The 24,738-nt window shown below is 43.9% G+C and overlaps 1 long non-coding RNA gene across 1 annotated transcript in view, besides 6 other annotated features; it reads right to left on the minus strand.

The window, feature by feature from the left end:
- LINC01344 (long intergenic non-protein coding RNA 1344) overlaps window positions 1-24,738 on the minus strand; it is a 110,117-nt gene that overhangs the window by 85,150 nt on the left and 229 nt on the right. The window contains exon 2 of the long non-coding RNA NR_104175.1: window positions 24,396-24,691. This is a non-coding gene — a long non-coding RNA (long intergenic non-protein coding RNA 1344). The remainder of the gene's footprint in view (window positions 1-24,395; window positions 24,692-24,738) is intronic.
- Window positions 2,632-3,131: an enhancer, noted in NCBI's record as "500 bp enhancer 10 fragment used in low-throughput reporter constructs". NCBI's record gives its function as "activates both an SV40 promoter and a TATA-containing promoter in HepG2 cells {active_cell/tissue: HepG2}" and the evidence as "EXISTENCE:reporter gene assay evidence [ECO:0000049][PMID:23512712]".
- Window positions 2,810-2,954: an enhancer, noted in NCBI's record as "145 bp enhancer 10/11 fragment used in the MPRA reporter construct; PK_construct_1085". NCBI's record gives its function as "activates an SV40 promoter by MPRA in HepG2 cells {active_cell/tissue: HepG2}" and the evidence as "EXISTENCE:reporter gene assay evidence [ECO:0000049][PMID:23512712]".
- Window positions 2,876-2,887: a transcriptional cis regulatory region, noted in NCBI's record as "FOXA motif; enhancer activity is lost when this motif is scrambled". NCBI's record gives its function as "necessary for full MPRA enhancer 10/11 activity {active_cell/tissue: HepG2}" and the evidence as "EXISTENCE:site-directed mutagenesis evidence [ECO:0005528][PMID:23512712]".
- Window positions 4,000-4,294: a silencer, noted in NCBI's record as "tiled region #4291; HepG2 Repressive non-DNase unmatched - State 2:TssF". NCBI's record gives its function as "represses a minimal TATA promoter and a strong SV40 promoter by Sharpr-MPRA in HepG2 cells {active_cell/tissue: HepG2}" and the evidence as "EXISTENCE:reporter gene assay evidence [ECO:0000049][PMID:27701403]".
- Window positions 12,615-13,132: an enhancer, noted in NCBI's record as "NANOG hESC enhancer chr1:182270844-182271361 (GRCh37/hg19 assembly coordinates)". NCBI's record gives its function as "activates a minimal SCP1, AML or CMV promoter by ChIP-STARR-seq in primed H9 embryonic stem cells {active_cell/tissue: H9 hESC(primed)}" and the evidence as "EXISTENCE:reporter gene assay evidence [ECO:0000049][PMID:30033119]".
- Window positions 14,890-14,939: a silencer, noted in NCBI's record as "silent region_1617". NCBI's record gives its function as "represses an Ori minimal core promoter by ATAC-STARR-seq in GM12878 lymphoblastoid cells {active_cell/tissue: GM12878}" and the evidence as "EXISTENCE:reporter gene assay evidence [ECO:0000049][PMID:35858748]".

Genomic DNA, 24,738 nt, shown 5'->3' on the forward strand with positions numbered 1-24,738 from the left:
TTTGGAAGAAATTCCAAGTAGGAAAGTAGTTGGTCGGCCCAGGGAAGGTGTTGGTTGATTGTTAGCTTTTGATTGGTCCAAGATCCAGGAGGTTTTATGAGCAAAGAGCTCACAATCTCAACCCCCATGTCCTGATTACACTAGGCTCTCCCTGGAGGTTCTCTCTGGCTGGGATTTTAGACTTGAGAGGTGTAGAGAGAGCTAGGAACCATGGCAGTAGGGTAGAAAAAGCCCAGGCTTTGGAGCAAGCAGCCTAAGTTGGAACCATGACTTCAATCCTTATCATCAGGGTGACCTTGTTAAGATTACGTAAACTCCATGAGTCTCAGTGTTGTCATCTATAAATTGGAGATGATACTTACCTCAAAGGATTGAATGAAAGCGTATTTACAAAAAACTACCAATAGCTACTCAGCAAGTGCTCCGTCACCTCCTGCTTCCTCCTGCCCACCTTACTTTTGAGAGCCACCCTTGAGTAGGCAAGATAACCCATTATCATGGCTTCCTCCAACTCCTTCCAAATTAGAAACATTGTCCAGACTGACAATGATCTCAGCATTTTCTCTGTGATCCATCAGTAGGTAGGATTCTACCATTATGTCACCAAGCTATTGTACCCTGGGTATTGCATGCTCCAATCATTGGGTATAAGCTGGCCTGCCTTTGTAACTCTCAGCTGTTTACGTAGTTCTCTGGGAAAATACTACCTTTCTAGGAGCCATCAGAGGTAGTGCAAGCTTGATGTGGTTCCTGATCTTCTGTCCACCCTAAATCCCTAGTATAAAGGTCCTCAGTTTAAAGACATACACCCATACCAACACACACACACACACACACACACACACACACACACACACACACACACACAGAGTGATATGGCTAGGCAGCTGCTGCTGGTCAACATTAGTGAGATTTCCCTCTTGTGCTGTTGTAAACCACCAGCCATAGCTATTGTCCTGTCTTTTCTGGTCTCTCTCTCTCTCTCTCTGGCATATGAGTAATTCCTCATTTGCTCTTTTTTCCCTGAAGTTCATGCCCTCAGGCACCGCAGGCAACCTGGATAAATTTAGCTCTTCTCAGGGCCTTTTCCTGACTTTGTTCCATGACTGTTGAAGGTTTGGCTGCTCCCCAGAGAGAGCTTTGGCCTGGCTTCCCTCCCTTGGAGGTCTCATTTGGTTCTGGTGTCTGCTATGCCACTTGCATAATTGGTCATGAATCACTTCAGGTTACGGTATGTACTTTGAGAATCAATCAGTTTGTGCTCTTGGAAGCTGAAATCCTTCATTCCAGCTTCGCATCCCTTGGATCTCCTTCCCTGTGTTTTCCCTTGCCCTAAACAGCCTGTGGCTACTGCTCATAGCTGTCATGCTTACTCCCCATTAGGGCTAAGCGGGAAATGATTGGTTGGTGACTAATAAAGCCTCTTCCACTCTCTTCTCCAGGAGCAGGGCCTCAGATCCCATGAGCAGGATCCAGTACAGTGAGGATGTTCATTTAAAGTTTACTAGTTTGAATGGTTGTAGCTGAATATAAGAGAGGCTGGAGTCAAACTCCCTCTTTAAGCAATTAAATGAAAGAGAACTGCATGAAAAGGCCATTATGTGTTTAGACATGATCATCTTCAAGGATCCAAAGTAAGAATCATGGATCATGCTCAAGCTTTTATCATTTTAGTTACTATTTTCTCTCTTCAATATAGGCCATTGATAAATTATCCAATCAGCAAGCATTTATTGATCACCAGCTTTGTGCTAGTAGCTATGGGCATTTCAGAAGTGAACAGCATCATTCCCAGTCACTTATGGGGGGAAAAAAGGTATTTTTTTAAACAGTGAATTACAAAGGAGAGATAAGTGATACAGGAAATGAGAGCTATTTTAGGGGATGTGGGTGACACCTTTAAAGGACCTGACATGGACTCTGCTTTCCTGGGGCTTGCAAACTACATGGGGAGATTGAACTGACCCACATGAAATGAGACAAGAACCAGGGCCAAACAGGAACATTCTGAGGAGGCTTTACGGAGGCAGTAGGTTTATACGAGACCTTGAAAGGTGGGAAGGATTTGAATGGATACAGAAAGGAAAGAACTTACCAGGATGAAAGAACAGCATGAACAAAGGCCAGAAGAGAAGACTGGCACAAGTTTCACATATGTGTATGTTTTGGGGAGTGCCTGTAAAAAGCTGGTCTTACTCCAGCAGGAAATACATATGGAGGGGGGCAGAAAAACAGGCTGAGGATGGTCAGCATCCAGGGCCTTGAGGGCTAGGCATGACCCAGTCAACTTACTAGCAACAGACCCCCAACTGCAGGAGCAGGCTCCTGTTGGGAAGGGGAGACACTGACCTTGTTCCTTGTAGGAACCACTATGAATGGCCTCTTCCCAGTCCCCATATTCACCTCCACCCCAGTTAGCTGCCCTTGCTATGGAAAACCACATTAAAAAGAGTCGTGAAACCAAAGTGATCTACTCCAGGCCAGTGAGGCAGTCTCTGCACATGCCCCACTGGGAGGGTCTCTCTCAGTGCCTGGGGCTGCAGACACTTGTGTGTGGAGTCCACTACTTGTTGGTAGTCGGGGCCACCACAGGCTATGGCTTCAAGAGGCAGTGAGATAAACAGCTGTGCCCTGGATAGAAAAGTACCCAGACACTACTGCTTGATTATTTTCCTGGCATGCAACTGGGACCAGTGGCCCAGGTGTCACTGCTGCCACCCTGGCTGATCCACAGAAAGAAGGGTCAGATCTATTTTAAGGATCTGTTTGCCCAGTCACATGGAGAAACTGCTACTTTAAAAACAGCTATTTACCAGGAAAGTAAAGGCCCCTGCAAAATAAAAGGTTAGTATACTATCCCTAGTAACTCTTTAAACCAAAGCAAACATCCAGGCAGGCCATGTTTGCACTGCACCGTTCTTGCTTTCTGCCCTTGGTCACTTGATTCCCAAGGTTCTTGGTTGATTTCTTCCTCGGAGTTAAGCTGAGAAAGAGCAACTGGTAATATCAAAGCACAGGGGTCTCTAGAGAGCAAGGGAGTTATAAACACACAGCAGTTGTATTGTTACTTGAAGAGTTTGTTACTATTGCTCTATTGTTACTTTGGTTGGTTTGTTTTAGGAGAGTGAAGGAGTCTGATCAGGCAAAATCTGAAAGAATCTGGAAGATCTAAGACCCTTCAGCAGAAATGCGCCTTCTACCTTGTATTAGTCCGTTTTCACGCTGCTGATAAAGACATACCTGAGACTGGGAAGAAAAAGAGGTTTAATGGACTTACACAGTTCCACATGACTGGGGAGCCCTCATAATCATGGCAGAGGGCAAGGAGGAGCAAGTCATGTCTTTCACAGATGATGGCAGGCAAAGAGAGAGAGCTTGTGCAAGGAAACGCCCATTTTTAAAACCATCAGATCTTGTGAGACTTACTCACTATCACGAGAAGAACACCATGGGAAAGACCCGCCCCCAAGATTTAATTACCTCCCACCGGGTGCCTCCCATGACACGTGGGAATTATGGGAGTTACAATTCAAGATGAGATTTGGGTGTGGACACAGCCAAACCACATCACACCTATATTTCAGGATTCTGATATTAGTGTATGGGAAGTAACATCAAATATGGTCTACAGTGATATTGTTCAAACTAGAGGTCCAAACCATCAAGGCAACTCCAAGAGCATTAAAATCAACATTTGGAGAGGCATCAAGTGTGGAGACAGTGCAGTGGCTGGCACTTTCTACAAACCGTCAGAGCAGTATGCTCCCAGCTTCTCCATGGACATCCCTAAACCTTCTTTACCTCCCAGCTTCTAAAATCTGCTACCTCATTAAATCATGTCAACTTAGGAAATCTTCATGGGACCTATCCTGTGGAATTTATAGTTTTGCTTAGGGCACAGTATGACACATATTTCTAATAGAGAAAATAGTACAATATATGAATACTACAGAATAAGTGGCATTAAAAAAATGCAGGGTGTAGGTGACAGGTGGACCTGTGTGCCCTAGAGCACACAATGAAAAACACATTGCCTATCATGGAAATTGAAGTCCTTAGCCTGACCTCCAAAGCTTTCCATAATCTGACACCAATCTCCTTCTCAGCCCTATCTCCCAGGACTCCTCCTATACAGTCAAACCAGACTTCCCCTAAGCTCACCTCGCTCCATGGCTGGGTTTTTGCCACTTAACACAATCATTCCTTTCCTCTCTTCTTCCTTCAGTCACTTCACACACGTCCAGTGATTCTGCTCTCCAAATGCTAACTAGGTTCCAGGTCTGGCTCACATTTCTCCTGTTCCTTGAAACCTTTCCAGCCCATCCCAGTGACCTCACCGTACTCTGAACTCACAGCACTCTTTGTCCACCATGCACACCACTCTTTGTACATCACGCACAGCACTCACTGCCTGGATGCTCCTTTGTTCATGAATGGGGCGCAGCCTTGTGAGGGCTCTGATGGGTTGCTATCTTGGACATTGACTTCTCCTTTGATCTCTCCTCATATCATCTCACAACCATATTATCCTTTCTTTGATGGCTTGCATTTTTGAATACCCTTCAAGCTTCTAGCACAGGGCCCAATGCAGAGAAGTTGGTCAATAACTGTTTGTGAAATGAATGACAATATAGAAAATCATCTGATGCTCAATTATGTTTCCGCCTGAAGAGGTAAAAAGAAAGGGCTACATTTATTGAGGGTCTGTCATTTTCACTTGTTCAGCACTTTAACACCCATCTAAAATGCAGATATATTATCTTCCACTTATATAATATGAAAATGAGGTTCAATAAGTTGTTCAACATCAGTCAGCAATAATAAGACAGCTGAGAGACAAACTCTGGTGTGCCTGACTTGGAATGCCAGGCTACGTGCACTACCTCCCACCTAAGCATCCGTCTGTGGGCAGGTTGCTGTAGTTTCTTCCTGTGAGTCTCTCAGATGACTTTTACTTTTTATTTATTTATTTGTTTATTTATTTTTGAGCGTTTCACTCTTATTACCCAGGCTGGAGTGCAATGGTACAATCTTGGTTCACTGCAACCTCCGCCTCCCAGGTTCAAGCGATTCTCCTGCCTCAGCCTCCCGAGAAGCTGGGATTACAGGCACCTGCCACCACGCCTAGCTAAGTTTTTGTGTTTTTAATAGAGACGCAGTTTCACTGTGTTGGCCAGGCTAGTCTCCAACTCCTGACCTCAGGTGATCCACCCGCCTCGGCCTCCCAAAGTGCTGGGGTTACAAGCGTGAGCCACCATGCCCGGCCCATGACTTTTACTTAATCACCCCATGCACTCTCCCTCCCTTCAAGCCACCTCCAAAGAGCTACTTTTCCTGGAACCACTGCATGCTTTCATGTTTCTGTGCAAATCCCTTATAATTCCTTCAGCTGGAAAATCACCTTCCATCTTTTCTACCTGTGCTATCTTATGTATCCTTGAAGGCTCAGCTGAAATGAATATTCCCTCCATCAGGTTTTCTGTTAACAAAATTAAGTGCCCTCACATCTGAGTCCTCATGGTCCCAGTGCCTCTTCCACAGTTTAGAACTCATTTGATTTTGTTTCAAGCTGCAATCAGTTGCTTACCTCTCTGCTTCCTCTCTTAGGCTGTAAGCAACCCAAGGGAAGGGAACACACTCTCTTCATCTCTGTAAGCTGGGCCTTGCACGACAGCAGCAGAGTGTCCCAAAAGTCTTTGGTGGTTCAGGTGGCTGCAGGTGGCTGCTGGTTGCCAGTGCAGAGCATTGATTCAGTCATATCACACACCTTCAGTGATTCTGCTCAGGCAATAAGCCACTGGGATACCAACGAAAGCCAAAAAAAGGAAGCTCCAAGTAGACTTCCCATGTCAGCTCCCAATGTGCAACCCAGGGGTTTCATCTTGAAACCATGTAGTCTCCAGTTTTAAGTGATTCAAGAATGTTTTGACCTCCCTTCTTAATCTAATCTATGGTTTCCAAGATAGTCAATGCCTCAGAGAGAGGCTGTCATAAGGGTCCCTGTTCTTTAAAGTGCCAAGAAAAAAAAAATGGTTAGATAGATCCTTTGTAGCATGCCTTTAGTAGTAAGGTGTAACCTCGAGGTTTGAAAAATGAATGAATGAGGCCGGGCATGGTGGCTCATGCCTGTAATCCCAGCACTTTGGGAGGCTGAGGCGGGCGGATCACTTGAGGACAGGAGTTTGAGACCAGCCAGGCCAACACGGCGAAACCCCGTCTCTACAAAAATACAAAAATTAGCTGAGTGCGGTGGTGTGTACCTGTAATCCCAGCTACTCCCGAGGCTGAGGCAGGAGAATTGCTTAAACCCAAGAGTCAATGGCTGCAGTGGGCCGAGATTGTACCACTGCACTCCAGCCTATGCAGCAGAGCAAAATGCCATCTGAAAGAACGAAAAAAGAAAAGAGAGAAGAAAGAAGAAAGGAGAAAGGACAAGAAAAGAGAAAAGAAAAGAAAAGAAAAAAAAAAGGAATGAATGTTAAACATGCCAGACCCTATTTAAATGAAGAAAAAGGATATTTGTTTGGTTTGCCTTATAGAGTCCGGCCCCTCCAAAGATTCTAAGACAAATTACATCTAACAGTGGAGACTGGACTTCCTCCTGAAGAACAAGCAACCATAAAGGGATGGCAGCTCGGCAGCAGCCCAGTAACACAACCAGTGACAATCTGTACACCAAGTTTCTGTGGCATACTGCTCCTTGAAGGCAGGGCTTGAAAGCTTTCATTCTTCTTCTTCTTCCTTCTTCCTCTTCCTCCTTCTTCCTTCCTTCTTTCTCTTCCTCCTCCTTCTTCCTTCCTTCCTTCCTTCCTTCCTCTGTCTCTCTTGCTTGCTTTTGCTTCTTCTTTCTCCTCCTCCTTCTTCTCTCTCTCAGCAGATCAGAAAGTTTTAATTCTACATTCCCAGTTCTTAGCACACAGCCTAAGACATAGTAGACACTTAGTATATATTTGCCAATGGATACTCATACTTGCTTTCTCTCCTTTTTTAATTTTTTGTTTTGTTTTTGTTTTTGTTTTTGTTTTTCTGAGACAGGGTCTCACTGTTTATTGCCCAGGCTGGTCTTGAACTCCTGGGCTCAAGCAATTCTCCTGCCTTGGCCTCCCAAAGTGCTAGGATGACAGGCGTTAGCCACCACACTGATCTTCTTATCTTTTTTTATCTTCCATCTTTCTCTTTTTCCTCCTTTAACATCTCCTTCCTGCCCATTCAGGACCTGTTGAGCCTGCATTACTAAAAATAACTGAGGCCCTAATTACTAAAAGTGAGGGATTACCTTCCCCTTCTCTACCTTTGCCCTACCCTCCCCCATCCTCTCAGGCAATACATAGATGCTCTTTGTGAAATATTAAATATTAAATCCTATTTTTTAAAAAACTGATGGTTCCCAAACTGTGCACAGTGGCTCATGCCTGTGGGAAGCTGGGGTAGGAGGATGGCTTAATGCCAGGAGTTCAAGACCAGCCTGGGCAAAAAAATAAGATTCCCATCTCCAAAAAATAAAAATTAGCTGGGTGTGGTAGTGCATACCTGTAGTCCTAGGAACTTGGATGGCTGAAGCAGGAGGATCTCTCGAGCCCAGGAGTTTAAGCCTGCAGTGAGCTGCACTCCAGCCTGAGAGATAGTGCAAGACCCCATCTCAAAAAACAAACAAACAAAAAACAAAAAAAAAACCCCACCAAAACCCTGATGATTCCCTCATTTTCTGGATGGCTCAGAATGATCGTATCCCTCTTGAGTAATCCAGCCCTTCTCCTATTTCTTCATCTTCACCCTCATTTTTCTACTCACTTCTTTCCCACTTCCAGTGGTCTCAGTCCCTGGGTCGTCTGGCTGCTAACCCTCAAAGCTGAGAAACATGACCCTTAGAGTCTTAGAGCCGTTCCTTGGGACACCCCCTTGAAGCTCGTGTGGGATTCCTTTTCTTTTTTTTTTTTTCCCCAGATGGAGTCTCACTCCGTCACCAGGCTGGAGTGCATTGGCACGATCTCGACTCACTGCAACCTCCACCTCCCAGGTTCAAGTGATTCTCCTGCCTCAGCCTCCCCAGTAGCTGGGATTATAGGCGTGCACTACCATGCCCAGCTAATTTTTATATTTTTAGTAGAGACAGGGTTTCACCATGCTGGCCAGGATGGTTTTGATCTCTTGACCTCATGATCCGGCTGCCTCGGACTCCCAAAGGGCTGGGATTACAGGCGTGAGCCACCATGCCCAGCCTCGTGTGGGATTTCTTTGAGATGGGTTCACAGCTGCTGTTGGCTGCCCTCCCCACCTACACTCCACTATCCTGTCCTGTGCTAGTCCCAAAGAATCCAAAAGACTACCTCTGTCCTGCCTCTGGAGACTGGACACATAGGCTGTGCTGGTGGCCTTCAGGGTATGCTGGCCACCATCACTGAGGAAAACAGTGCATTCTGTTCTGGAGTATGTGCCAGATTAAGGGCAATCCAGGCAATGTGGAATATAAACAATGATGTGGGAGCATAATGTTGGCACTCTCAGGAAAACAGATAAAACTCCCTTGTCCAATCCAGTTTTATTTTTTGCAGAGACCATTTTACTTTCTTGAGCATCAAAACATACACACACATAGGGTTTTTTTGTTTGTTTGTTTTTGTTTTTGTTTTGAGACAGAGTCTCGCTCTGTCGCCCAGGCTAGAGTGCAGTGGCGAGATCTCGGCTTACTGCAAACTCTGGCGAGATCTCGGCTTACTGCAAACTGCTGCCCCCCTTCCCCCTACTGCCAGGCTGAAGCAATTCTCTTGCCTCAGCCTCCTGAGTAGCTGGGACTACAGGCACATGCCACCACTCCCAGCTAATTTTTGTATTTTTAGTAGAAGCAAAGTTTCACCATGTTGCCCAGGCTGGTCTCAAACTCCTGACCTCATGTGATCCGCCCGCCTCGGCCTTCCAAAGTACAGGGATTACAGGCATGAGCCACCTCACCCTGTCACCCACATAGTTTTGAGCCCTGGTCCCACCTGTCAGGTAGCTGGTCCACACTCCATCCCAGAGGAAGCTCTTAGGTCAAGGGGTGGGAATTTCAAGAGGGGCAACGAGTAGCTGGAAGCCATGTTCCCAGGCCCATGTTTTACCCCAGCCTCCTGCCCCACATCCTCCCCATAGATCTCACGTAAAGGGCCTGTGCCTTGCAGTGAGGGCTGTTTCATCTACCTGCCTTCCTAATAAACTTTCAGACAGAAGTATGTATGTGTGAGTGTGTGTGTGTGTATGTATGAGTGTGTGTGTGTGTGTGGTGTTAAATGGGGATGTTAATATAGTCAATACTAATTCCTAGATAAGAACATTGTCTTAGTCAAGACTAATTCAATGCTAATACCTAGATAAAAACATTGTCTTCATCTTGGAAGGTGAATACCTGTTCATTAAATGATCATTGCTTTGGAAGAACTTTTAATGGGAAATACTCAGAAAACAATGCCAATGTGGATGGGGAGACAAGCACGACGTCCAATAGACACCATGCATTATAAGCAGAGATAGAGATAAAGATAGGCATTGAACAAAGAGAGAAGGAAATACACCAAAATGCCCAGAGAGGTTTTCTCCAGGTTTGGAGTTACAGGTGATCTTTGCTTTCTTCTTTCCTGTATATTTCTGTGCTGCCCAAGTCTTTTACTGTGAGCAAATGTGACTCTAGTAATGGTGGGGATTAATAATTTTTTAATTTGTTTTTCAAATGTAGAACACTTTTCCCTGTCTCCCAGTGTCATCAAGAAGCCCAGAAGAAAGCTGAGTGACCTGGCCGGGCGCAGTGGCTCACACCTGTAATCCAGGCACTTTGGGAAGCCGAGGCGGGCGGATCATGAGGTCAAGAGATCAAGACCATCCTGGCCAACATGGCAAAACCCTGTGTCTACAAAAAATACAAAAAATTAGTTGGGCGTGGTGGTGCATGCCTGTAGTCCCAGCTACTCAGCAGGCTAAGGCAGGAGAATCGCTTGAACCGGGGAGGCGGAGGTTGCAGTGAGCTGAGATCGTGCCACTGCACTCCAGCCTGGCGACAGAGTAAGACTCTGTCTCAAAAAAAAAAAAAAAAAAAAATCCTGAAAGTTGAGGAGTGACCTCAGTACTAAGGCCCTCAGATCCTCCAACCCCATGGCACAGGCGCTCCCTCCTGTTGTCTAGCACAGTGTCTGGCGAAGGCCATCACCCTTATATGAGGGCAGAAGGTGAGCTAAAGCCCTATGGAAAAGGTGGCTCAGGCATATACAGGCCTGTAGGACCAAGCTCAGAGACAGACCTGTGGCCAGTGGCTCCACAGCTATGCCCCAACCTAAATGTGCCCCCAGAGCTTGCTCCAAAAAGATTCGAGGAGTAGGAGGGGAACAAGGCAAAGGAGATAAAAAGGGGATTACTGGGAAAGTATTAGAACTACCCTGGACCGGGCACGGTGGCTCACGCCTGTAATCCCAACACTTTGGAAGGCCAAGGTGGGCAGATCACTTAAGGCCAGAAGCTTGAGACCAGCCTGGCCAACATGGCAAAACCCCGTCTCTACCAAAAAAAATACAAAAATTAGCCTGGCCTGGTGCCGGGCACCTGTAGTCCCAGCTACTCAGGAGGCTGCAGCGGGAGAATCACTTGAACTCAGGAGGTGAAGGTTGCAGTTAGCCAAGATCGTGCCACTGCACTCCAGCCAGGACAACAGAGGAAGACTCCATCTCAAAAAAGAAAAAGAAAGAGAGAAAGAGAGAAAGAAAGGAAGGAAGGAAGGAAGGAGAGAGAGAAAGAAAGAAGGAAGGAAGGAAGGAGAGAGAGAGCAAGGAAGGAAGAAAGGAAGGTAGGAAGGAAGGGAGAGAGAAAGAGAGAAAGAGAAAGGAGAGGAGAGGGGAGAGGAAGGGAGGGGAGGGGAGGGGAGGGGAGAGGAGAGGAGAGTGCCCTGCTCAGGAGGTAGCAGATTTCCAGGGACCCCTGAGGGTCAGAAGAGAAGGACTGGGAGAAAGCCAAGGAGTTGAGGCAAGGTTCACATCAGCTCAGGGACACCCACGTCCTCCTCTGGCTCTAACCATCCTTCTCATTGACAGATCTTTTTAACTGCCTTTTGTTTCCTCTTATCTCCCTCACCCAGCCACCAGCTTCTACCCCCACCCCCAACTGAATTGCATCACCATCCACTGAGCTCCCAGGGCCTGCAGCTGTTGCTGCCTGGGGTGACAGACACACCCCGATTTTTGAAGGGAATGAGCTTATGAGGTCAGGGAGGAAGGGGGAATTGGGGGCTGGGGAGAAGCAAAGCTTGGAGTAAACTTCCCAGAACTGCAGAGGGTGGCTGAGACCACCCACTCTTCTTACATTGTCACTGTGGTCAGAGCCTTGAGCCACTGTCAAGTGTTGGATTCAGAGTGGGTGGGTGTCCAAGGAGAAGAAACTGGAAACAGCAGGGAGGAAAGGGCAGGCACAAAAGTGTTGTGGGTAATTCCTTCTGGGAGAATTGATAACTTTTGCATTCATCTGGCAGGGCCCTCTGGAAGCAGCAATAAGTTGACATCTGTTCTTTAGCTACTAATGCCAAATAGATTACTTGACAGTAGTTTAATATGCACAACTAGGAACTCTGTGTGTGTGTGTGTGTGTGTGTGTGTGTGTGTGTGTTGGTGGAGGGTGGGTGGGTGGAAAGGGAGCAAGAGGGAAGATCTTTTGAGAGGGTAAGAGGACTATCTGCATTCCTCCAAATTTCTGGAGAAAGAACTCAATAACAAATTCAGAAAAGTATATTAAGTCCTGGGGGATTCTGAGCCAATCTTCCCACAGCTGGATATGTCAACATCTGTCCTTCGGTCCTCCTTGTCCTCAATTTTTTTTTTTTGGAAAATTGACCCCATTTTGATAAGAATGTCTGTGTTTTTGAAAAACATAACCCATCACATATGATCTCCATGGCAATGATATTTTGCTATAGGAGGCAGTAGTAGGATGTGGTGGTAAGAACATGCACCTCAGAACCAGACACCTGGGTAAAAGTCTGACACTGACAGTTACAAGCTGGGTGAGCAGTCTGATCACTTGCCAAGTTGGGTGACACTAGTTCCTCGCTCACACAGTTGTTGTAAGAAATGAATGACAGGTTCAGAGAACACGCAGTAGAATAAAAAAGAAAGAAAGAAAGAAAGAAATGAGTGGGCATATGCACCGTGCTGAAACACAGAGACTGGCACGTAGTCAGTACTGCATAAGGTCAGCACCCTCCGTATGACCCCACCCCAAATCCAGCCACTCCGGGTATGTCGTGATGAACTAAGCATTAGAGCATGGGGCCTAACGATGGCATGGCTGCAGGCCAAATCCTGCCTGCTGCCCACTTAGCCCAAGAGTTAACATTTTTCTAAATTTTTTAATCACTGGGGTACGAAAAGTCAAAAACAAGAATAGCATTTCATGCCACATGAAAAACATATGAAATTCAGACTTCAGTGTTCATAAATGAGTTTTCTGAAGCACAACCACACTCATTTGTTTATGTATCTTCTCTAAGACTGCTTTTCCGCTGCAATGACAGAGCTGAGCAGGTACAACACAGATGTATGACCCACAAAGCCTAGAATATCTACTATCCGGCCTTTTACAAAAAAAGTTTCATCAGCCTTGCATTAGAGGATCAGCAGTCCAATTCCAGCCCTGCTTCCCACCTTCCAAATAGAGATAACACCTTCTCTGTCACTGAAAAACCCTCACCAGCATGCACGCGCGCGCACACACACACACACCACACACACCACTTGGCTTATTCACCGTGATGCTGTTAACACCAGCTGGCCTCCACTTTGGAAAGTGTAAGACCAGATTAGGCTATAAAGCATTACTGTTATTTTCTGAGCAAGCACTTGGGGGTGGTGCAATCCCAGTCAACACTACTGAAACAACTCAATGTGCTCTTTGTTCTCCAAGTCCTTGATCTTTCGTTCTTATTACAACTTCTCAGGGCCTGCTGTGTTCATTTGAACTGGTTCAGCTGGAAAAAATATGAGTTGGGTTTTGTTTATACCTTAATCAGCTGACTAGAAAGGGGTTAGAAAGAAGAGAGTGAGGAAGCATTAAAATGCATACATTATTGAGTGTTTGCTATATGCCAGGCACTCTGGAATTACAGTAATGTATTAATAAGGAAAGGTCCCTGAGAGAGGGAGAGACAAACAAAAAGGCAAGTAGTTATAAAATAATCCAATAATTCCTATACAGAGACATAAACAAAGCGCTGAGGGAACAAAAAATAATTTATTCTACTAGGTTTTGAAGAGGAGCATCAAGAAAAGTCACAGGGGGTGACAGCTTTGGCCTAGGAGGCTTTGAAGAGTGGGGAAAGTTGGTTAGGTGAGAAGAGAGGGTTTATCCTTGGTAGAACAGGAAAATAACAGTGGCAAAAGCAAAGAGGGAGGAGGACATGTATGGCATGTTCAATCAGCAGGGAGTGCAGGAGGAGACTCCAGGAGACAAGCTGGGGCTGCACTGCAGAGGAGCCTCTGTACCACCCTCAGGGGATGGCACTTTATCCTGGAGGTGATGGAGAGTCTTTGCAGATTTTTAAAAGGGGAGAGAGAAAATCACATGTGTGCTTTGAAGATGATCATTATGGGAAGCAACGTGGAGGGATGTGCTGACACAAAGAAAACCTGGATTTAAAAAAGGGCTGGGCACGGTGGCTCATGCCTGTAATACCAGCACTTTGGGAGCCAGAATGGGGGGATCACTTGAGGTCAGGAGTTCGAAACCAGCCTAACCAGCATGGTGAACTCCCATCTCTACTAAAAATATGAAATTAGTCAGGTGTGGTGGCACATGCCTGTAATCCCAGCTACTTGGGAGGCTGATGCAAGAGAATCGCTTGAACCCGGGATGCGGAGGTTGCAGTGAGCTGAGATCACACCATTGCACTCCAGCCTGTGCAACAAGAGCAAAACTCTATCTCAAAAAAAAAAAAAAAAAAAAAACAACGAAACAAAACAACAAAAAAGTCATGGGTGATGGATGATAGCAAAGTGTGGTGGGAAGAAAGATCTTGGATGTAGAGTTCATCGAACTTCACAATATATTGAACTCACAGTTGAAAGAGAGGGAAGAGTATGAGGATAAATCCCAGGTTTCTGGAGTGGGTACCTGGACAAATATTGGTGCCATTAATTGAGACAGGAAATGGTGGAGGAGTAGCAGTTTGACTGGGGATGAAAAAGATATTTGGGCTTATAATGTGGTATTCGACTTGTAGCATATGACATGGTTTTAGGTCATCCAGGTTAAGAAATCCAGCAGGCAATTACTGATACTCTAGGTCTAGAGCCCAGAAGATGCAGGAGCTAGAAATAGACATTTAATAACTTTCAGTATATGATGCATGACAGCAGAGGACCCGTGCATCATTCATGCATGGGCTCAGCAAGTGTGGAAAAAATAATCTACAATTAGAATCCTAGGGAATACCAGCATCTAATTGGATGCAAGGCAAGAGAAGCCAACTAAGATGGGAAAAAAGGAGAACCCAGAATGAAAAGTATTGCCAAAGCCTCGAAGAAGGATGTTTCAGAAGTTTCTCTGCCACTGGAGAGGGTCAAGAGAATTAAAAAAAAAAAAACAAACAAACAAAACCCCACAAAGCACAAACTCTCTCAAATAATGGATTCCCATAAAGCCCACTTGGAATTCTGTGAAAGGGTGTCACCTTGGAGAGTTATAAAAATCAATTGGCCTGCTTCCAGAACTCAGTGCCTAGGGTTAATAAACTGGAAAGCAGAGGTGTTTTCCAAGACAGACAATTGGTTTTGATGGGCACCAAAAAGCAGCTGTTGGGTTTGCAAAAAGGAGTCATTGGTGACTTAGCCAGGAAACATTTCAGTAGAGTAATAGGAGCAGAGACAAATTTACATGGTTTCAGAAGTCAGTGGATTTGAAGAAATAGAAACAAGAAGTAAAGCATGCACTTTCAAAAGTGGCATTTCTACAACTGTTTTATGCTTTCCTCGTTTCTTTTTCTCTCTCTCTTAAACACCAATTGTCTGTCCTGGAAAACACTTCTGCTTTCAATTCACTGGGTGCTGTTTTCCGAAAATAGACCAATCCATTCTCATAACTCTCCAAGATCACATTTACCCTTTCACAGAATTCCAAGAGGGTCTTACAGGAACCCATGATTTGCAGGGTTTTTGCTCTTGCCAAAAAAGTGTTTCTAGAGAAAATCAACAAAAAGATTGAAAAGTCCCTGGGGGAGTGAGGGTACACCCCACAGGATGGGTACCTCTGTAAAGGGGTCTGCCATGGGTCTGCGTAGGGAGTCAGTCCTCCTCTCTCTCCAGTGAATGGCACGGTGCCAGTGAAGAAGGAAAAGGGGGCGGCTGCACTCTCAAGCTTCTCTTCTAACACCAAGCTTTCTTTCCTACTTTAGCTTGAGACCAACAAAAAGTGGAGAACTTAGGGTAGTGTGGGACCAGGTCCCTGGTGAGCTGGGTTCTAGTTCCAGCTCTACTTCTTATCCCCAGGTTCTACCAAAGAGAGAGTTTTCCTACTCTAGTTTGATTTCTTAAAATACAAATATGATTAATACATTTGCTTAAAACCTTCAGTGTGGTTTCACCTTGCCCTAGAATTAAGTTCAGTATCCTTAGTAGGAACAAACAGCACCTTCCACATCTAATAGCTGCTAGATCTCTCCTCCAATTCTCTTGTCCAAACAAGTGGAATTTTTTTCTTCCAAAGCAACATGCTGTTCTCTCTCCTTGTGGCTTTGAAATGTACTAATCCTCTCCCTAGAGGCCTCAGTTTTCACACTTTATCTGGCAACCTTGAACTCCTCTCAGTTTTGATGCCAGCTTCTTCAGGGAACTCTTTTCAATTCCCTAGGCTTGGTTAGACCCCTAGATCAGATTATATGTTTATTTCCTAGCACTCAAATGCCTTGTGTCAGTTGTTTAAGGTCAGTCTCTCCTACTAGAATATTAAGCATCCATCAGGGCAGGGAGCTGGTCTGCCTTTTTACTACTACGACCCTAGCACCAAGCATCAAAAAATGAATAACATGTTCTTTTGTTCATTCATTCATTCAATATGTTGTAAGTAGCTGATCATACAATATATGAAAAATCTCTTCCAAAAATATAAGATCCAAATACTTGGAACATTTTCTGAAGAAAAATGCAGTCAATATAAATCTAGTCAACAGTCCTGAAGCCAAAACTCAAAATGTGCATTTATAATAAAGGATGATACTATTATGATTACTATACATGACTTCAAACTGGTTTTTATATCTCATTACTTTTATAATCAAATTATTACATTAATATATGTCACTAATAATATATATTTGATCTCAGACAGGTCATTATATCTTAGTACCAGAAGGGATCTTAGAGAGCTCCTAACTCCTTGTATTTTTGGGGACTATATCAAATTTAAATATTCTAGATCCCATAAATCATTGACATTTCACAGAAATTCTAATATTCCTACAAACAATATCTGAAAGAGTTAAGTTAGCAAACATCACAATGACTTAGTAAGCTGAGTTCATCAAACACGCAAATATGAGTAAAACAATACTCTACCAACTTCTACTGTAAACAAATGGTGAGAATTACAATTCAAATATTTTATTAACTAACATTTTTTCCCTGAACTTTTTCATTGAATTGCCCAAATCTTTGAATGATACTTCATATACTTTTACAAATATATACAACCATAAAGCTGCCATTCAGATCAATATATACATTATCTACACCTCATACACTGCCTTCTGCCCCATTGCGATGAACCTCTGGCCCCACTCCCACCAAAGGTAGTCAGCATTCTAAATTCTTTCACCATACTTGGGCTTTTCTTTTTTGAACTTCATATAAATACAATCATAAAATATGTCCTTTTTTGTGTCTAGCTATTTTTGTTCAAAATTATATGGGTTAGATTCATATATACTTTTGCATTTAATAATAATTTGGTCTTTTTCATTACTGTATAGTATTCCATTGACTATATCTGCCACACCATGCTACTATTGATGGACTTGTGGATTGTTTCCAATTTGGGGCTACTGGGAGTACAACTTCTGTGAAAAGTTTTGTGTTGTGGTGCATACATTTACACATTTCTGTTGGTTATAAGCCTATCTATGAAATTGCTAAGTCATAGGGTAGGCTTATGTTCAGCTTTGGTAGATATTGCCCAAAAGGTTTTCTTTTTTTTTAATTTTTTTTTTTTGAGACAGACTCCTGCACTGTTGCCCGGGCTGGAGTGCAATGGCCCAAAAAGTTTTCAAAGTGATTGCAGTAATCTACTGTGCCAATTTACCCACCTACCAGCAGAATATGAGAGTTCCATTGCTCTACAACCTTTTCAACTCTTGATATTCTAAGTTTTTGTTGTATTATTTACTTTTTCTTTCTTTCTTTTTTTTTTTTTGAGATGGAGTCTCGCTCTGTCACCTAGGCTAGAGCGCAATGGCATGGTCTCAGCTCACTGCAACCTCTGCCTCCTGGGTTCAAGCAGTTCTCCCACCTCAGCCACCCAAGTAGCTGGAACTACAGGCACATGCCACCACACCCAGCTAATTTTTGTATTTTTAGTAGAGACGGGGTTTCACTATATTGGCCAGGCTGGTCTCGAACTCCTGACCTCGTGATCCTCCTGCCTCGGCCTCCCAAAGTGCTATGATTACAGGCGTGATCCACGTGCCCGGCCTGTATTATTTACTTTTTAACTGTTCTGGTGTAGAAGTACCTTCTTATAGTTTTCATTTGTATTTTGTATTTTCCTAATAAATAATGATGTTGAGCATTTTTTCATATGTTTATTAGCCATCTAGACATTCTCTTTATTAATAAAGCTTTGAGAAGAAAACATAGACTATCATCATTACCTTGGGACAGGCAAAGATTTCTTTTTTTTCTTTTAAGCAATGAGATCTCACTATGTTCCCTAGGCTGGAGTGCAGTGGCTATACACAGGTGTAATCATAGCACACTACAGCCTTAAACCTCTAGGCTCTATCAATCCTCCTGTCTCAACCTCCAGAGTTGCTGGGACTACAGGCAGATGCCACTGCACCTGGAAAACACTTCTTAAATAGAACACACACACACACACACACACACACACATATACCTATCCATAAAGAAAAGAGTGATAATGTAGACTTCCATTAAAATGTAAACATTCTGAGCCAGGCACAGTGGCTCACACCTGTAATCCCAGCACTTTGGGAGGTTGACACAGGAGAATTGCCTGAGTCCAGGGGTTTGAGACCAGCCTGGGCAGCATGGCAAAACCCCGTCTCTACAAAAAAATTAAAAATTAGCCTGGTGTAGCAGAGTGCACCTGTAGTCCCAGCTAATTCGGAGGCTGAGGTGGAAGGAACACTTGAACCCAGGAGGTAAGGCTGCAGTGAGCCAAGATCATACCATTGCACTCCAGCCTGGGTGACAGAGTAAAACCCTGTCTCAAACAAACAAACAAAAAATAAGTAAATATTCTGTTAATCAAAGGACACCATTAAAAGAATAAAAAAGGCTGGGTGCGGTGGCTCACACCTGTAATCCTAGCTTTGGAAAGCCAAGGTAGATGGATCGCTTGAGCCTAGGAGTGCGAGACCAGACTGGGCAATATAGTGAGACCCCATCTCTACAAAAAATAAAATAAAAAATTAGCCAGGCCTGGTGGCATGTTCCTGTAGTCCCAGCTACTTGGGAGGCTGAGGCGGGAGGATTGCTTAAGCCCGGGAGGCGGAGGTTGCAGTGAACTGAGATCGCGCCACTGCACTCCAGCCTGGATGAGAGTGAGACACTGTCTCAATAAATAAATAAATAAGCAAGCCACTAAGTGAGATAATGTATTTGGAATCATAACCAATATTCTTAAAGAACTCTTGGAAATTAGTAAGAAAAAAAAAAGATAGCTCAGTGTGAAAGTGGGCAATAAAACTTGAATTAAACCTTCCTTTCTGTATTTATTTATTCTGAGATGGAGTCTCACTCTGTCGCCCAGGCCGGAGTGCAGTGGCACAATCTTGGCTCACTGCAACCTCCACCTCCTGGGTTCAAGCAATTCTCCTGCCTCAGCCTCCCGAGTAACGGATTACAGGCACGCACCACCACATCCGGCTAATTTTTTGTGTTTTCAGTAGAGATGGGGTTTCACCCTGTTGGCCAGGCTGGTCTTGAACTCCTGACCTCAAGTGATCCACCTGCCTCGGCCTCCCAAAGTGCTGCAATTACAGGTATGAGCCATCACTCCTGGCCTATTTTTATTATTTTAGAGATGGAAGTCTCACTATGTTGTCCAGGCTGGTCTCGAGCTCCTGAGCTCAAGTCATCCTCCCGCCTCAGCCTCTCAAAAGTGCTAGGATTACAGGCGTGAGCCACCACAACAGGCCTTTATATATTTATTTATTTATTTATTTGTGACAGATGCGAGCCAATGTGCCTGGTGAATTAAACCTTCTTTATCATAAAGCATTACAAACACTGAAGTATTTTTGACTACACTTGTTTCTTTTGTCTATCTTTAATAAAGATAATTCATTCATGCAGTTTCAATGTTTTATATCTTTGCACAACTTTCTATATAAATAAAATCACAAATCAGGATAAAAACAATTCTTTTGAGCCGTAGTTTGTCCTCTTTGGAGTTTGGAAAATATACCCACAATAATTACTCCATCTAGTCTAGCTCCCCATTCGCCTGAGCCTTTATCTGACAAATGAACTCCCGGTTCTCAGGATTTCCAAATGTTCCAATAAAAACATGGAAAGGAATGATTCCCTCTCTGTCTTCAAGGATGAGGCAGATATTCTTGTTCAGATAAAGCCTCCCAGCCTCCAGGCACCTAGGCAAAGTAAAAAAACTCATCTTTCTTCATCTCTTCTGGGACTGTCTCAGAAAGCTGGATTTTTTCCCCATGCAAATTCCTCCTCCCCCACACTACCACATTCTTTGAAAATCAAAAAGTCCAAGAGTAGAGTTAGGCATGGGTGGCACACACTTGTAATCCCAGCTATGTGGAGGCTGAGGAGGGAGGATTACTTAAGAAAAAGCAAAAAAAAAAAAAAAAAAATTGAGTTGAGTTATAGTTTTACCAAGTCTTTGTGAATACAGAATACTTAAAGTGGCAAAGCCAGCCTGGAAAACATGGGAGAGACATAGACCCAGGTAGATACTGAATGCTTACCAGATGTCAGGCAGTATACTAGTATACCAGATGTCAGGCAGTAGACTAGATAAGTATGTCACTACTCTCAAGGGGCTTATAGTTTAGTATGAATGATCAATAATAACAGCCAGAATAAAATCTTCATTTATGTAGTGCTTACACTGTGCAAGACATTGTGCAAAGCATTTGAACATATATTTTTAATATATAATATATACAGTATATTATATATGGCTTTAACACATTTTTTCATATTTTTAATAACTTTAATCTTCACAGCACATTTAGGAAGAAGATATTGTTTTTAATCCCCTTTTTGATCAGTATATTGAGAGGTTAAGTAACTTGGCCAAGGTCAAGTAGTAAGAATTCAGACTAAGAGTTGAAACTAACACAATTAGAAGCGGGTAATAACAAGTGCATAGATTAGACAGCCAGAATGTACATAAAAGCGTGCTAGGAACACAAAAGAGGGACGACCTTTAGCCCAGCCTGGACAAGTCCAAATCTTCCTGGAGGAGGTGATATTTGAGCCACACTGAATGGTGGGTGGATTAGGAAGTCAGGCAAGGGGGAGGGCATTCCAGGCAGGAATTTCAGCACCCTGGGAGAAGCAGAGGTGTGAGACAACAAACCAGTGTGGCTGTGGATACATGTGGGAGACAAAAGCAGAGGCGTGGGAGGGCAACACCACAAGGCGCTTCATAGGCCGGCAAAGGAGTGTGAAGATTTGGGCCTTATCCCGAAAGCAGCAAGAGTCCCCAGGAGGATTTTAAGTAGGGAACTGCCTAAGTCAGATTTGGATGATGCTAGAGATGATCTGCAAAGTGGGAGGTGGTGAAGAAGCAGGGTAGGAAGCCTGGGAAGCCAGGGGAAAGAACTATTAGGGAACTAAAAACGTGTCTACTTACCTCAGAACCATACGCCACCACCATCTGTGGCCAAGGCAGCCTCACCCTAGTTTCTGACCTCACAAACAGCAGAGGTCATCTCCCTTCCCCTCCCAATTCATGGCATCCAGCCTTCTTCACCCTGCACTAAATACTTTTTCCTCTACGGGACTGTTAACTTTAGCCTTTTTTAAAACAGCTTTATTGAAATACGATTCGCATGCCATACAACTCAACATTTGAAGTATTCAATTCAATAGCTTTTAGTATATTCACAGAGTTGTGTATCCATCACCACGATCACTTTTAGAATATTTTCATTATCTCCAAAATAAACTTCCTACCCTTTAGCCACCATCCTCCAACTCCCCCATTCCCCTCAGCCCTAGGCAGCCACTACTCTACTTTCTGCCTCTACAGATTTGTCTATTGCGGACATTTTATATAAATGTAACTATACAATATGAGGTCCTTAGTGACTGGCTTCTGTCACTTTGCATAATGTTTCCAAGGTTCATCCATGTTATTGCATGTATCAGTATTTTATTCCTTTTTCTTGTTGAATAATATTCTACTGTATGAATATACCACATTTTATATATCTTTTAATCAGTTGATAGACTAAGCCTTGGTTTTTAAACCAACCACTGTCAAAAAGGATGGGTTTGCCATGGTTGGCTTTTGTAATCCTCCTCCATCCTTATAGCTTCAGTGCCAGTTCCTCCAACTGAAGTAGTGACTCACACAAAAGGACAGACATGTGGATGCTAATGTTTCCTACACTAGATTATAAACCCCATGAGGGAAGGACATTTGGGCATCGTGCAAGTGAGGCATGGTAGACAGCAAAGAGCTTAAGCTTTGGTTATATATATATCTCTATACACACACAAACATATATATACATATATACACACATACATACACACACACATATATATATGTATATGTATATATAGAGAGAGACAGAAAGAGGGAGAAAAGCTCACTCTGCCACCCAGGCTGGAGTGCAATGGCACCATCATAGCTCACTGCAGCCTTGAACTCCTGAGTTCAAGGGAACCTTCCACCTCAGCCTCCTGAGTAGCTGGGACTACATGTGTGTGCCACTATGCTCAGCTAATTTGTTTTTATTGTTTTGCAGAGATGAGGTCTCACTATGTCGCCCAGGCTGGTCTCAAAGTCCTGAGCTCAAGTGATCCTCCTTCCTTGGTCTCCCAAAGTGCTAGGATTATAAGCATAAGCCAAAGCTCTTGGCCAGCACCTACAATTTGGAATCAAAGAATCCTGGATGTGGATTTCAGCTAAACAACTATCGGATATGCAGCTTCTTAGGTCCCTTGCTGTAAAGTGTGAATAATAATACAGGGTGATTGAGCACTAGTGGTTCTGTAGGTAAAGTGTACTTTGTAAATTGTACCTATTATTATTAATATTACTATTTTTTTTTTTTTTGAGATGGAGTCTCACTCACTGTGTTGCCCAGGCTAGAGTGCAGTGGCGCGATCTCAGCTCACTGTAACCTCTGTCTCCTGGGCTCAAGCAATTTTCCTGCCTCAGTCTCCCAAGTAGTTGGGATTACAGGCATGCACCACCATGCCTGGCTAATTTTTGTATTTTCAGTAGAGACGGGGTTTTACCATGTTGGCCAGGCTGGTCTCGAACTCCTGGCCTCAAGTGATCTGCCCACCTCAGCCCCCCAAAGTGCTGGGATTACAGATATGAGCCAGAGCCCAGCCAATTGTAGCTATTATTGCTCTTATTATTATACAGACCCTTTATGATTTGGCCTCTACCTACTACTTTGGGCTCACCTCCTGTCAAATCTCCCCTTGCCTTAAACTTTATACTCCATCAATATCAAACTGCTCATTTTTTTTGTTTGTTTGTGTTTTTTTTTTTTTTTTTTTTTTTTTTTGAGACGGAGTCTCGCTCTGTCGCCCAGGCTGGAGTGCAGTGGCACGATCTCCGCTCACTGCAAACTCTGCCTCCCGGGTTCGCACCATTCTCCTGCCTCAGCCTCCCAAGTAGCTGGGACCACAGGCACCCGCCACCACGCCGGGCTAATTTTTTGTGTTTTTAGTAGAGACGGGGTTTCACCGTGTTAGCCAGGATGGTCTCGATCTCCTGACCTCGTGATACGCCCACCTTGGCCTCCCAAAGTGCTGGGATTACAGGTGTGAGCCACCGCGCCCGACCATATTTTTTAGTTAAATGTTATTTGGTTTCACGCACCCATACCTTTTACATGAAGTCTGAAATGCCTAAAACACCACACCTCCCCTGCTTGTCATGGGAATTCCATTCCCTTTGTTTTGTTTGTTGGTTTGTTTTTTATGAGATGGTGTCTGGCTATGTTGCCCACCCTGGAGTACAATGGCCATTCGCAGGCACCATCATTGCACATTACATGCTCTAACTCTTGGGCTCAAGCAATCCTCCTACCTCAGCCTCCCAAATAGCTGGGACTATAGGCATGCACCTCTGCACCTGGTCCCATCTGTGTTTCACAACCCATCCTAGGCATCAGCTTCTGAAGGAAGACTTTCTTCCTATTCTATCTCCTGGTCAGTCCTTCTGCTGTGCTTTCTCTATGTCTTGCATCTAGTACGTGCTTCTATTCATGTACTTATCCCTCTGACTACATCATACAGTGTGTTTCTCTGATTGTTTACCTGTCTTCTGGATTATGAGTCTCTTTGGGGCAGAGGCTGTACCTATAGCACATGGCCCAGTGCCTAGAATATAGTAAAAGATCAATATATTTCCACTGAACAAATGATATAACAGAGAGCAGAAGTCTAAATAGCCCCTAGGTTTTTGATAGTACCAGTCTCTAAGACTGGAACAAAGGACAGCTGGTTTAGGAATTAAATTCACCCAATGAAAGTCTAGCAGGCAGTTTAATACGTGTGTCTGAAAATCAGATGACAGATAAGGACCTCATATGCACTTTGGAGAGCTAATCCCACCGTTTTCAAATCCATGTCTACATGGAAACTGAAGTCATGATTTTGGTTATCAATGCCCCAAAACTGTGAATAGAGTGAGTAAAGGAGGAAACTAAGGACTTCCAGGAATACCCATTTCAAAGGGCAGCCAAAGGAGGTGAAGATTAAAAGATAATCAGCCAGAAATACAGAACAAGAACCAAGGAAGAGAGGTGTCCCCAAAAGCCAAAGAAAAACAGAATTTCAAGAGATGCGGATGCTCCATAGTTACAAGTGGATTTGGAGGTCATCAGGAATTTAGTGGAAGCGATTTCAGCAAAATATCAGGGGATTGGGGTGGTTGGGATTGCAGATGGCTATGGAAAAGAGAAAAAAGGAGGAAAAGGAGGATTCACCTACCTGATCACTCAGAAAAAGCCTCTCTTCCCTGCTAACAGATTTTAAGGCTGTATTTGTAGCTTCCCAAAGGACAGTCAGCTCCTCTAGAAGTCCATGGCAAGAACAACTTCATGGTGGACTTTTTGCTTCCAGGAGATCAAATAATTTTCCAGTGTGATTGATGCCTCTCCTCACTTCAACTCAGAAGAATAGTCTTCAGTTTATGTAAATTGAATCCCACAGATGGAGTGGCATCTTCAAAGCACGTAACAGATGGATGGTACCTGAACCCTAATTCCAGACCCTCTCAGAGGTCCCTGGAAAAAAAAAACAAAAACGCAATGTGCGTATATTTTGCCATAAA

Source organism: Homo sapiens, chromosome 1 (assembly GCF_000001405.40).
Source record: "Homo sapiens chromosome 1, GRCh38.p14 Primary Assembly".
NCBI classification, from domain to species: domain Eukaryota; kingdom Metazoa; phylum Chordata; class Mammalia; order Primates; family Hominidae; genus Homo; species Homo sapiens.